This window comes from Homo sapiens, chromosome 8, assembly GCF_000001405.40.
Source record: "Homo sapiens chromosome 8, GRCh38.p14 Primary Assembly".
Lineage (NCBI taxonomy): Eukaryota > Metazoa > Chordata > Mammalia > Primates > Hominidae > Homo > Homo sapiens.
The window spans coordinates 100,210,864-100,225,028 of record NC_000008.11 but is presented as its reverse complement, the minus strand read 5'-3'; the positions used below and the strand labels follow the sequence as shown (position 1 = coordinate 100,225,028).

The window sequence follows — 14,165 nt, the reverse complement described above, 5'->3', positions numbered from 1 at the left end:
TATAAACTGTTTTCAAAAAGATATTTACAAGTTGTCATAAATGATGCAACTTAGACTATTTTTTAATCAAAACAAAAAAGACATTTTTAATTTGTTAAAAAATTTTAACATATACATAATAAAATTGTATTTTTTGAGAAAGTTAAATATATTAATAAAACTAAAATTTAGGAGGCCTAGAAGAAATGTCTCCTGTAATATTTAAAATCATTACTAAATTGATAATGTATTACTCTTGAGAATGATCAGAAGTATTTTAGAATTTCTGTGCCCAAACTGTACATTATGATAACCACATTACCAACTACTGTGGTTGACAACAGGTGTACAAGACTGGCTGCCAACACTGGTAAGGGCTCGCTGTCATGTGAATAATGCTTTTTCTCAAAACACTTACATGTGTTTAAGATACTCTTTCTTGCTCTGTATTTTTTTCATCTCTATAATTATCAGTTTATTCTTTTGTGTGTTTGTTTGTTTTGTTTTTGAGATGGAGTCTCACTCTGTCGCCCAGGCTGGAGTGCAGTGATGCGACCTCGGTTCACTGCAACCTCTGCCTCCCGGGTTCAGGCAGTTCTCCTACCTCAGCCCCCCAAGTAGCTGGGATTACAGGCACGCGCCACCACGCCCAGCTAATTTTAGTATTTTTAGTAGAGACGGGGTTTTGCCATGTTGGCCGGTCTGGTCTCAAACTCCTGACCTCAGGTGATCTCAGCCTACCAAAGTGCTGAGATTACAGGCGTGAGCCACCGCACCCAGCCCCATTTATTCTCTTTTCATATGAATAAAGATGAAAATACAAGATACTAGATTCTACTACAAGGGCTTTTTTATTAATGGCATTTACTGATGGCCATCATAAAATTTAGATTAATATCCTCAGTGATCACTTTTTCATTATTTTAAACATACAGAATGTCATAATTAGATTTAAAAATAAAATTAAAAATTACGTCTTTTGAACAAATCTGGTTAAAAAGAACTGCTTCCTAAGACTGAATTGGTTTACTGGCAATTAGCAGAATAAATTCAAGTTAGTTAAATCTAGTCGCAACTTTTTGTGTGAAAAACTTTTATATTTATATATAGACAAATGTAATGCACATAATTTCCCTACAGTTTCTTAAACTTAAATTTCCATAGTGATCTTTGGTTATAATAATTGAATCTTATGCTTTAATGTAAAAAAAAATTTAAATTAATGTATAACCACCCAGAATTGCAGAAGAAAAAGAAGTTTCAGAAAAAAGAATTTTCAAGCAAAACTTATATTACCAGCAGAGAGGAAGGAAGAAGCAGCTGAAAAGAGATGATGTGTTGCCAGGGAATAAATAAGTATATGCAGGGAAATTTAACATATAAGATTCCTGGAGAGGAAGAGAGGCATATGGTTAATGGAAGACAGAAACAAAATAAATACAGATGTTTAAATTTAAAAAAAAAAAAAAGCTTCTGCTGTTTAATTTTCCATAATGAATTGGAATAGATGGAAAAGCAAGCATAAATGTGGGATTCACAAATAAGAAATAGTGAAAAATTTTAAACAGATATTGTATATAAAAATATATATGGCAAAACCAAAGCCTCCTCATCAACAAAATATCAACAAGAACCATTCAATTAAAAAAAATGACTCAGTCTTAAAAGTCAATTACTTTAAATGAACCTTCCTGAGTACATATAACAAATATAATACAATCTTCAAAAAGTTAAACATAGAATTACCCAGCAATTCTACTCCTAGGCATATACGAAAAGGAACTGAAAGCAAGTATGCAAACAAAAATTTGTCCATGAATGGTCACAGCAGCACTGTTCACAATAGCCAAAAGGTGAAAATGACCCAAATGTTCATCAACTGGTGAATGGATAAACAAGATGTGATATGATATATACATGCATATAATGGAATGTTAGCCATAAAAAGCAATGAAGTACTGATCCATGCTATGCCGTGGATGAACCCTGAAGACATTATGCTAAGTGAAAGAAGCCCAACACAAAAGGCCATATATGATTCCATTTAGATAAAACATCAGAACAGATAAACCCGTAGAGACAGAACACAGATTGTGGTTGCCAGGGGCTGGGGGGAAAGGAAAATGGGGAGTGGCTGCTTACTGGGTACAGGGCTTCCTTTTGGGGTGGTGGAAATGTTTTGGAACTAGAAAGAAGTGATGACTGCCCAAGATGGTAAGTGTACAAAATGCCACTGCATTGCACATCTTAGTTAATTTTATGTACATGAATTCTACCTCAATTTTTTAGAAAAACTATAATGCAAAAGGTCAGAAATGTCAGTAATCATGTTCTCTCAGACCCATTTCTCCCTTCAACCATTCAGCCTACTATTAATTAGACTTCCTAAAATACCTTTTCATCAGGCCCTCCTCTCTGCCAGATACTTCCGGTGTCTCCCCACTTTCCATTTCATGATAACCTCTAACACTGTGAGAAGATCTTACTTTCTCCAGCTCTACCTTGAAAACTACTAAGCCGAGGATGGGGCGAATTAAAAGCAACAAACAATGCCCCAAAGCACAGGAGTGAACTCTGTGTTCTCTGTTTGAAAATGCACTCATTTTTATTGAGGACGTCTACTGGAGGCAGACACAGGAGGCAGTGCAGCGACAAAGATGAAAAAACACAATTTCTGACCTCAGGGAACACCGGCTACAGCTACAGGAAAAGAATTTTACACAGGGAGACAGCAAACGTGAAAACAATATAGAAGCTGGGTAATAAAAGAGGGCCCAGTGTTATGGGGGCACTGAGAAAGGGAACCTAAGGTGCACCTATGGGGTAGGGAGACAGTGGATCAGGGCAAGTAGTTTCCTAGAGGAGGCAAGTCCTCTCCTGATAGATGAGAAGGAATTCAAAGACAAAAAGGAGAAAGGGCCTGCAGGCACATAAAAGGAGGCAGCAGATGGCGCACCGTGGGGTGGCTGTGCAGCGCCAGGTGAGACCGCCTGGTCAAGGCCAAGGAAGCTCAAGGTCAAGGAGGCTGTGGGTGCCAGAGGTTCAAGACGTCTCATCTCACCCCATCACAGATTATGGATGTATGTCCCTTTCTTCTAGGCAGGCTGGGATCAGACAGGTTCCCTGTGACTACCAAGAGAACGGTTGTCACTTCTGCCTATGTATCTTTCCAGCAGGGCTGGGACCACATGGGAAGGTAAGGTCTGATTTTAAAACTTACCTTGAATTACCATTCTCATTTTCTACAATTTTGTTTAAGGTCTCTTCATGTTCTCTCAGCATCCTTCAAAGCCCCCTTCAAGTGCTCTCTCTGCAACAAGTTCAGCCCATACAGACACAGGTGGCCTGGCCTCTCTGTGATCCCCTTCCCCGAGCCTGGAGATAAACTGCTGTACACTGTTTCTACCCAACTATATTCTAGTATGTTTAAAGACGGAGACCATGTCATTTTTTCCCCTTTTTTTCTTTTTTGAGAGGATCAAGGCCTGGTCCACTAGACTAGCATGGGGTACAGTGTAACATATAAATATTTCAGAAGTTACACTTTAAGCAAATGGGATCAGAAAATGTCATACATAACTAGAAATGTTATCCAACTAGTTAATTTTCAAATTTCACCGGAAAGCAATTGATGAAGTCTGGAAGTTTTTACCTTCCCATTCTCACGCTGGGGGTAAATAGGTCATAACATAAATTAGATCCAAATTCTTTGCTATTTCGCCATTATAAATTACTATTCATCCTAGATAAGTGTCTATTTACAAGGGCATATAACAGAAATATCTGGCAGGCTCATGAAGACATCCATTCTCCTCAGGAGAAACAAGAGATATGTTTCCACTGACAGATATGGTGCCAATGAACACCTGCAAATCCTGTGGGAGGAGAGGATTCAACATAGCAGTTTTCACCACATTTTTGGATCTTATTCTATAGCTAGTACTGATTTATTTATTTTATTTTAATTTTTTTTTTTGGAGTTGGAATCTTGCTCCGTTGTCCAGGCTGGAGTGCAGTGGTATGATCTCAGCTCACCGCAATCTCCGCAGCCTGGGTTCAAACAATTCTCCTGCCTCAGCCTCCTGAGTAGCTGGGATTACAGGCGCCCGCCACCACACCTGGCTAATTTTTGTATTTTTAGTTGAGATGGGGTTTCGCCATGTTGGCCAGGCTGGTCTCGAACTCCTGACCTCAAGTGATCCACCCGCCTTGGCCTCCCAAAGTGCTAGGATTACAGGCATCAGCCACCGCACCCAGCTACTAGTACTGATTTTATGATATCTATGTAAATACCCTCTTATCACCACATATATTTAAGCAGCACATATGAGTTATATCCTGTGTTACTAAGACCAAAAAAAAATACTGATTGAACAGTAATAAATGGATCAGAAAACAAATACAAAGGCATTAGAGGACAAGTCAGAATTAATTAAGGGAGAGTCAGAAATTAAGTTAAGGGAGAGAACCATTTGATGTAATGGAATAAAAGAAGGCAATCATTCAGGTGATAAAAGTAACTGATAACACATCTATATTTTGACATGTTCTTGAAGGAGGGGAAGGGAAAAACAGTATAAAACAACTAGATTTTAGGTAGCTGCCTCAGATTAATTACCTGTTAACACTGTCATTTGCTAGCTGGAGTCCACAGTCTATCTGCAACACTGTTTTATAATCCACATAAGCTTTCCCATACTGCTCTAGAGTTTCATAGGCCATCGCCCGCCTCAGAAGAGGTTTCATAGAGAATGGATGAAGTTCCAGAGCCCTAAAGAAGACAAAAATATTACATACCATTTGTTTTGAAAAATGCTCTTTCGTTTATACTTCACTGAATAGATACTGCAGTACTGAACTCTCAAATATGTACACATCCGAGACTTCGTCTTGGGAACCAGGCAACATGCCAGAAAGGCAAACCCAGAGTAAGAAAGCAATCATATTTGTGTTCCTTTCTTTTAAACCAGTAGCAAAGCACTCTGCATTTACTCTTTCCCACTGAGCCGGGAGCTCCCTGGCAGCATGTCCTGGCCTCCCCAGTCCCCTAACAGAGCAGCATGGCACAAGGCACACAGCAGGGTTTCAACAGATTGTCGTTGACAGATTAAAATGAAAATTCTTATTTGCACCTATGTATTTAATAATAAAGTACAGAACCATAAAAGTTGCATCACATTTTGAAAATCGGCACTCTAAAACTTATTAGTTCATTATGATTCACTTGCTGCAAAAGGGCTTCAAAAACAGACCAAAGGGGAATCAAGGAACTAAACCTACAATGATTTCTTCTAAGTTATGAATTTTCATCTTGCACGTTTTAGTCTATGAAGTGTTTCCAATATCACTAAAGATGTATCTCATGGTTGTGTTTTTTGGTTTTGTTTGAAGTGTTTAAAGCTACTTCAGCATTTAACGTACTTCATTATATTCTGAAGTAAAACAATAAAAAAACTGTACATATAATCCTCGATTTACAATATGGTTATGTCCCAATAATCCCATGGTAAACTGAAAATATGTTAAGTCAAAAGGCAGCGCAGAGCCTTTGGTTAAGGAATCACAAATCTGTATTTATGAATGAAAACTATAGTACTCTTGGTTTTAACAAAATCAACAGAAGCTGCAAAGAAGTCCTCCATGCAGAGATCCTATGAAGAGCCTCCTTTCTATATAACCTAACTAACATCTGCACCAGACTGTCCACATTGAAGATGGTGGATTTATTCTTTCAACTCATGCTATAAACAGTTAATATAACAAGTATTTAACTTTCCAGGAAAGCATGAGCAAGGGCTGCTTTCTTTAACTTGCTGTTTTTCCGATACTCTTAGAAATCTGCTGTCTATTCCTGTCTACAATGATTCAGCAATGAGGAAACATTGACAGAGTATCTGCTATGTGCTAGTCACTGTAGACTTCCCCATCTAATCTCACAACAAACCTGTCAGGTAAATATTAATATGTTCATTATGTGGGTGAAGAAACAGAAACATGAGGAGTGACATGCCCACAGGTCAGTTCTTTCTAATGTGAGCTTCAGGAAGGCAATTGGCATTGCCTGTCCTGAGCACCACTATATTCCCAGTCCTAGATCACCTGGGTCATGAGAGGCACTCAGCAAACTTCTCTGTGAGCCCTCAAAAGCCTACACTCTGCCTACCGCAGTACACATACAAACACTGCAAATGAAGGAACTCTTGAGTCATTTGCCACTCAGACCACATCATACAGATACTCAGCTGCACTTGTGGGAGCCCTTCTGGCATATCATAGAAGTTACTCTAGAAATGCTGTTAAACCTAATCTGCTTCACTTCTCTGAAAAAATAACCAATTTCACTCTGCCTAGGTGTTAGGATTGTGAGTGATTTTAATGATAGTCTTTGTGCTGTGCTAGTTTTTTCTTAAGTTTTCTATAATAGGTAAGTGGTTTTTTAAAACAGTAAATGTTATTTAAAATATAAAATTAAAATCAAGTAAACATATTTCAACACTAGAAAATAGATCTGTGGGCATCAGGATCTGTCACCTGTACCACTGCCTTAAATTTAGCTTAGTTTAATGTTTAGGTAATATTAACTCTATGAGCAGAGTCACAACCATGTGACTACCTTCACTTCACAGAAGACTTCCAATGACCAAGGTGCCATTTATCTATTCAAGATGGCCTTAAGCCAAGCTTGGGATCTAAAACTGATGAGATGCTGTATTAATTTTTAGCACTTTCTGCCCAGTAAATTTATTTCTTTAACTACAATCCTGAAAATGAATATGAACTTATGAATGGAAATTCCATTAAGGAAAAAAACCACCCATGTATAAAAATAAGCACAGAGAACTTTTGAAGCAGAGCTTACAAAAGAGGCTATCTATTCAAGGTAACACAGTTAAGACCCTAAAAAATCTTCCAATTTCAAGACTGTGAGAGTAGCAAAGATAAGAAAAAGCAGAGAACTGGCCAGGCACGGTGGCTCAAGCCTGTATGTAATCCCAGAACTTTGGGAGGCCAAGGTTGGCAGACCACTTGAGGCCAGGAGTTCAAGACTAGCCTGGCCAACATGGCAAAACCCTGTTTCTACTAAAAAAAAAATACAAAAATTAGCTGGGTTAGGTGGTGCACACCTGTAATCCCAGCTACTTGGGAGGCTGAGGTACAAGAATCGCTTGAACCCAGGAGGCAGAGGCTGCAGTGAGCAGAGATCATGCCATTGCACTCCAACCTGGGTGATAGAGTGAGACTCTGTCTCAAAAAAAAAGAAAAGAAAAGAAAAACGAAAAAGGAGAGAATTACTAGGCAACATTCATTTGTATTTAGTCTGTTGAAATGTCCTCAATGGAAAGTCACCAAAAGATTTTTGGTGTGGTTTAGATAAACCAAAAAGGTTCTGATAGATGAGAAAAGTGAAGTATTTTAGCTTATAAACAATTATGAGTATTTTAAAAGTTGTAAAATGATGGCTTTCAAACTGAAGCATCATAACCCCTTTTCATGTTTCACCTGGAGGTCTAAAAGAGTCATGGAGATGCTGTGGTGAGGGGAGAGGCCAGGCTTAGAGACCTTCAAGATCTTCAACACCCCCCCAACCCCAACTCTGCACTCCAAATGGCCACTCTCCAAACACACCCCTGGAAAACAACCAATGCTCCTCAGAGGTAAGACATTTAAAATCAAATGGTAGTTTTTCCCAAAATACATTTAAAAATTATTTTCATAGGTAAAATTTTCTCCTCTTATTTTAAATTTTGCCTGTTTTTCTTTCTCAGTGTTTGACTCCTGATACCACTTATCTGGTGATAAGAACTTTTGGGCCAGGCACAGTGGCTCATCCCTGTAATCCCAGCACTTTGGGAGGCCAAACCAGGTGGATCACTTGAGGTCAGGAATTCAAGACCAGCCTGGCCTGCAGCATGGTGAAACCCCTTCTCTACAAAAAATATGAAAAATTAGCCAGGTGCGGTGGTGAGTGCCTGTAATCCCAGCAACTCGGGAGGCTGAGGCAGGAGAATCACTTGAACCTGGGAGGCAGAGGTTGCAATGAGCTGAGATTGCGCCACTGCACTCCAGCCTCGGGGACAGAGCAAGACTCAGTCTCAAAAAAAAAAAAAAAAAAAAAAAGAACTCATGGAACTCTCCAAAGAGCAAAGATAATTAACTGAAAAACTAAAACAAAACAAAATGAAAACACAAAAACTCCCTTTAACATGTATGCAATCTGTTTGAATATAGTCACTTGAGCTGAAAAGATGTTCACAAAAGCACAGAGTGGCTTCTCTGGCATTAAAACAAGATTGAGAATCACTGCTTTAGTGTAAAATCACCCCCTGCTGGGCCTCATCTCCATTTCTCTTACACTGGGACTGGTAGGCCAGCTATCAAAGAAAACATCTGAGTAGGTCGGTCTCTACGGAGGTCAGCACCAACCAGCAAGGCCAGGTTCCTTGCCTAGAAAACAGCTCTTAAGGTTAGCACAACCTACCTAAACCGACGCCCACTTCCCTCTCTGGTGAGCCATCTCCTGCCCTCCCCTTGGACAAGCCCCTACTCTAGCCACCCTGGACACCATGGCTGGAGTCCCATACTTGACTTTCTCCTCTGTCTACACTGAAACACAGCCAATTTTAGCCAGTAAATGTTAATCACCTTAGAGGATCTCAGATAAGGACAACACAAATCCACTCTTTTGCAGCAGCTCTAATGTTAGGGGTCTCAAGTTTTAACTAAAGTGTCCTGACCTCCCTCACTGTGGAAAGGCCTAAAACAAGTCTGAAGGGTAATGGATTAGAAACAGACAGTTGAGCTGAAAGGATGTTGGCTGCAAATCACCACGGGCTTGGTATCCAACAAATTCACATGGTCTGGTCTGTTAGGAGCACTGGTAAAAGCCCTTAACAACTGGCTCTCTGGGTAAAGAAAAAAGGAGGGGTGGGAAGCCCAGATTTGTGGCATTTGCTCATTTCATGGTATTAAATGGTATCCCACCATGGCAGATTTCAAAATATCAACTTGACATCAACCAGCTCACAAAATCCTGAAAAATGTAATGATTAGCGAGTGTGAGCCAGCACAACTGAGGATGCGGTCTGATGTCAGGCCAAAGAGAATATAAGTATTATTCACTTCAAATTTAAATATGTAAAACTGGCAAAAAAATTCAAGTGCCTCAAGGCCTTCTTTTTAAACTTAGGCACAGATACTAGCAAGCTTTACCCATATCAATAAACTGGGCCGGGCGCGGTGGCTCACGCCTGTAATCCCAGCACTTTGGGAGGCCGAGGCGGGTGGATCACGAGGTCAGGAGATCAAGGCCATTCTGGCTAACACTGTGAAACCCCGTCTCTACTAAAAATACAAAAAATTAGCCGGGCATGGTGGCGGGCGCCTGCAGTCCCAGCTACTCTCCAGGCTGAGGCAGGAGAATGGGGTGAACCCAGGAGGCGGAGCTTGCAGTGAGCCGAGATGGCGCCTGGGCAACAGAGCGAGACTCTGTCTCAAAAACAAAACAAAACAAAAAAACAAAATAAACTGATACAGCCAATGAAAACAATAATACATTACTCACCTTATAAACAGTGTCCACATAATTTACTGTTCAAACTAGAGTTTCTGAGAGTGTTATATGAGACAACAGGAGTAAGCCAGAGCTGTGTTAGTCAAACTAGGACATGACTTCTTCTTTTTTAGATGTACTAATAGTAGCTTCTTGCCAAAGGGCTTCTTATTACTTCATGGTGGAAAACAATGTTTTATTTATGTAGCTATTTACCATCCAGGCAGGTAACTTATTGAGTACCACGGGTGACTATTATGCTTCGAGGGGTACGAAGCTGTATAAGACAGGGTTCCTCAGAGGACACCAGAGGATGGAAAGGGTAGGGGGAAGAGGGGGACAGGCAGAGATTTGTTAAAGGATATAAAATTACAGCTAGATAGGAGGCACATGTTCTAGTGTTCTATAGCACTGTAGGATGACTATAGTTAACAATGATACATAGTTTCATATATATATATATATATATATATATATATATATATATATATATATATATATATATATATATGAGTAAAGTTTACAGAGTCTCTTGTCTGTTGCCCAGGCTGGACTGCAGTGGTGGCATCTCTGCTCACTGCAACATCTGCCTCCCAGGTTCAAGCAATTTTCCTGCTTCAGCCTCCCGAGTAGCTGAGACTACAAGGGTATGCCACCAGGCCCAGCTAATTTTTGTATTTTTAGTAGAGACTAGCTTTCATCATGTTGGCCAGGACGGTCTCAAACTGACCTCAAGCAATCCACCCACCTTGGCCTGCCAAAATGCTGGGATTACAGGCGTGAGCCACTGTGCCTGGCCATGAGCCACTGTGCCTGGCCACATCATATATATCGAAGCATCACTCGGTACCCCATAAATATGTACAGTGATTATTTGTCTATTAAAAAAGAAAAGACATGGTTCCTAACCTCGATGTGTTTAAACCCCCTTCAGTGGATAACAGGACTTAGAGGTGTGACCGAGTGTCAGTGTAGGTGTTACAGGCCTGCAGATGACCAGGAAGTCTAGGGCACTCAAGAAGGTAGAGAGAAGGGGCAGCTGAGCAAGAACTTCAGAAGATAAGATGTGCAAAGGGCATTACCACCATTAGGGGCAACATGGGCAAGGGCTCAGAGAACAAGGTGGGCGAGAGTAAGCAAGTGGTCCAGTAGACCAAACGGAAGGAGAAACTTGCTTGGAGGCAGTGTAGTGACAGAGAAGTTTACAGTTATTTCGAAGCCAATACTGAGCCATTAAAGGCCTGTTGGAAACAATCTGAACAAAATAATGTTTCAGGAAAGTTATTCTGATGCCGCAGTGGATTGGAATTAGTTATCAGGCTTCTCCAGTAGTCTAGGAGTGATATGAAAAGAGCACGAATTAGGGCGGTAGCAGTGGAAATGAAAAAAGTTTGCACAATCTTCTATAACTCTCTTCATATACGTAAGATAATTTATGATTTTTATGCATCAATCAATTAACATACCATAAAGCTCTTAAGAAATTAGATCCTTAGGCAGAAAATTTAGGATCTTGGATATTGCATTCACCATAATGAAATTATAACAATCTCTTGACAAACCTGAAAACGTGCAGTTTACCTGTTACAATCTTGAATGCAGCCACTGCAGTTTCCTTCTTTTAGGTAACATGCTGCTCTATTTGAATATAAGATACTTAGATCATCTGCAATTTCACTTCCTAAAAATCACATTTAATTAAATACAGTTAAAATCCATTAGCAAGATCACAGTTCACCAGAATTACAAGACGGCCGAGGTCTCCGGTGGGGTGGCACTGCAGTCCTGCAGACTGATCATGCAGAACTCCACGGAGCTGCTACCCGCAACAGCCACCAAGGGAAAACCCGGCGGGGACGGAGGCAAACGTGCCTGGCCGGGAACATGCCGGCATTCCCAGGTGCTGCTCACTGAGGTCAGGTGGCACGGCGCTCTTAGTCACCTGGGAGGAATGCAGCGATGCCGGCGCCTGTCATTCAGGAGGCGGCAGCGCCTCTCCCACGGGGGCCCCGGAGGTCGGGTGAACCGCAGCGCGAGGGGCCCAGGAAGCGGCGGGGCGCGGCGCACCTACCTGCTGGCTCCAGGAGCGCGATTGCCGCCGAGTACTTGCCGGCCGCCTCGGCGAACTGCCCGCTTCGGAACAGCTCGTTGCCCTGGCTCTTCAGGCCGGCAGGGTTCTCCGCGCCCTGCCCGCCGCCCGGATGCCCGGTGGCGCCGCCGCCCGCCGCCGCCGCCGCAGAGGCCCGCCGTGGGCTCCGCTTGTCCGCGCCGGCCTCCGGGGTCTGGCCCCGCTGCGGCGCGCCCCTTGCCGGCCGCTTGCCGCCTTCGGCTTTGCCAGTCAGCTTCTTCTGGATGTTGCCCATGACGCACGGCTGGGCGGCGCGCGCGGCTCCCGCCGGCTCCGCGGGCTCTGTGAGGAAGTGGATGCGGGAAGTGAGGGTTTGCATCACCGGGAGCAGTTGCCGCGGAGGCCGCGGAGGCCGCGGGGGTGCAGGACGCGGAGGGCGGGCTCTAGGGAAGCCGGCTCGGGCACCGCCCCTGCGGGCGGAGCCTGTGCTGCCGGACCTCTAGAGCCAGTCGGCCCAGTCCGCTCCCTCGAGGCCCCCTGCGGCTTCCTGAGGACTCGGCTCCCGGGTTTCGGCCAGAAACGTACCCTGTCTCTAACTGTTTAAGCGCTGAAGGGCCTGTGGCTGAAAACCGGCATCTCAGAGCCATCCCCTTCATCAAGTCCACCTGTCCAGGTGAGCTTACAAAATACGTACTTTTTTGAATGGAGTTGCAAAAACTTGAATACAATTATAATACCCAACACGGAGGCACCTTTCCTTATTTTAAAAGATTAGGAGAAAAAGATTTGAAAGAAAAATAAAGCGTAAGTGATTTTTAAGTCATTTTAAAAGTGAATTTAGCAAAAAAGTCACAAATTAGGCACCTAGTTTTTAAACTTAAAGGGAGCCTTAAAAACACAGCAAATTTTCCATCCCATTGCCTTATTCAAACTAAAAATTTCTTTGATTTTGATTAGGAGTTCAGGTATTAATAGCTTTAATAATTGTTGAATCTATTTTTAAATATAAAAAGGATGTGTAAATATTTAATTTATGGTGTCTTAGCAATATTTAAAACAAAGCAATTAATCATTTCACAGCACCGTTAAAAAGTACTTAAATATAGAGATTTCCAAGCTTTCTCTTTTAACGAATTCTTATCTGATTCTTAATGGATATATTTTCCATTCTTTTTCATGAATGGTAAAGCCAAGATTTTAAGCACAGAGACAGAGGGAATAGAAAAGCACAATTATTTAAGTGAAAATCAGTGGATGATCACCTTAAGACAAGCATCAAGTATAAAAACACATTAATAAATACTGTTTTCTATACAGCAGAATAACATCCAATTTGGATCACCAGCCAAAGGGATCTTAATTATTAAAACAATAAAAAGATTTTGCTATAAAGATAAATCTGCAGATTAAACCCAGTAGGGTTATTAGAGTAAGGCTCCAGTTTTAATCTGGTTTCTGTCAATCAGGTTCTCCACCAGAAACTGGGTGAAAGCACAAAAGTCAGGGTCGGCAGAAACAATGGTCAGCTTGGTATTACTTTCCACCCCTTTGCACAGTATCCCCTCGGGTCTGACCAATGCTATCACTAAAGAGCTGCAGTTCATTTAGAACTTGATATGGATCACATTAATCCTAATACCAAGTATTATCATTCCCACTTTACAAATGAGGCAACAGAGAAACAAGAAGCTAAGGAATGCGCTCTAGTACACAGAGCTAGAAGCCAGCATAACTCGGACTTGTTTTTATTTTTATTATTTGTTTGTATTTATTTTGACACAGGGTCTTGCTCTATTGCCCAGGGTGGAGTGCAATGGTGCCATCATAGCTCACTGCAGCCTCAACCTCTGGGGCAGGCAATCCTCCCCTTAGCTTCCAGAGCAGCTGGGACTACAGGTGAGAGCCAGCCACCATGCCTGGCTAATGTTTAAAATTTTTTATACAGATGAGGCCTTGCTATGTTGTCCAGGATGGTCTCAAAGTCCTGGTCTCAAGCAGTCCTCTCTCCTTGGCCTTCCAAAGTCCTGGGATTGCAGGCATGAGCCACTGTGCCCAGCCATAACCCAGATTTGAACTGAATGCAAAGCATTCTTACCTTAAGATTGAAATGGCTCTGAACAACTTTGATAGTCTCTGGACAGGTAAACAGAGGCCCAAACATGAAAGACTTGTGAGTTCTGTTGGGTGTTGGGATACCCGTGGGACAATGCAATGGAGCTGTTCAGAGGGTGGCTCTACATGTAGATCAGAGAAGTGGCCTTATCCAGAGACAGTGACTTGGGAGTTACTAATATATAAAAGTTTGGGGCCGGGCACGGTGGCTCATGCCTGTAATCCCAGCACTTTAGGAAGCTGAGGCAGGCAGATCACAAGGTCAGGAGTTCGAGACCACCCTGGCCAACATGGTGAACCCTGTCTCTACTAAAAATACAAAAATTAGCTGGGCATGGTATCAGGTGCCTGTAATCCCAGCTACTCAAAAGGCTGAGGCAGGAGAATCATTTGGACCCCGGGAGGTGGAGGTTGCAGTGAGCCAAGATCACACCATTGCACTCCACCCTGGGCGAC

The 14,165-nt window shown here is 42.0% G+C and overlaps 1 protein-coding gene and 1 long non-coding RNA gene across 12 annotated transcripts in view, besides 2 other annotated features; one reads left to right on the top strand and one right to left on the bottom strand.

The window, feature by feature from the left end:
- Window positions 1-14,165, bottom strand: part of SPAG1 (sperm associated antigen 1) — an 83,867-nt gene that overhangs the window by 16,876 nt on the left and 52,826 nt on the right. For 8 of the 11 annotated variants that reach the window (XM_047422128.1, NM_001374321.1, NM_172218.3 and 5 more), the window contains exons 11-13: window positions 11,601-11,939; window positions 11,111-11,210; window positions 4,598-4,750 (exon numbers count right to left, since the gene is read on the bottom strand). In XM_047422128.1, the coding sequence (XP_047278084.1) occupies window positions 4,598-4,750; window positions 11,111-11,210; window positions 11,601-11,939 (592 nt within the window). Of the gene's footprint in view, window positions 1-4,597; window positions 4,751-11,110; window positions 11,211-11,600; window positions 11,940-14,165 lie in introns of those variants that run through there. The other 3 variants (XM_011517240.3, XM_011517245.3, XM_047422131.1) reach the window with 3 other exon arrangements.
- On the top strand, window positions 4,746-7,832 carry LOC105375669 (uncharacterized). Its single transcript, XR_928450.3, has 3 exons — window positions 4,746-5,930; window positions 7,486-7,634; window positions 7,746-7,832. It is a non-coding gene; the product is annotated as an uncharacterized LOC105375669 (long non-coding RNA).
- Window positions 11,504-11,863: a silencer, noted in NCBI's record as "silent region_19412". NCBI's record gives its function as "represses an Ori minimal core promoter by ATAC-STARR-seq in GM12878 lymphoblastoid cells {active_cell/tissue: GM12878}" and the evidence as "EXISTENCE:reporter gene assay evidence [ECO:0000049][PMID:35858748]".
- Window positions 11,954-12,143: a silencer, noted in NCBI's record as "silent region_19411". NCBI's record gives its function as "represses an Ori minimal core promoter by ATAC-STARR-seq in GM12878 lymphoblastoid cells {active_cell/tissue: GM12878}" and the evidence as "EXISTENCE:reporter gene assay evidence [ECO:0000049][PMID:35858748]".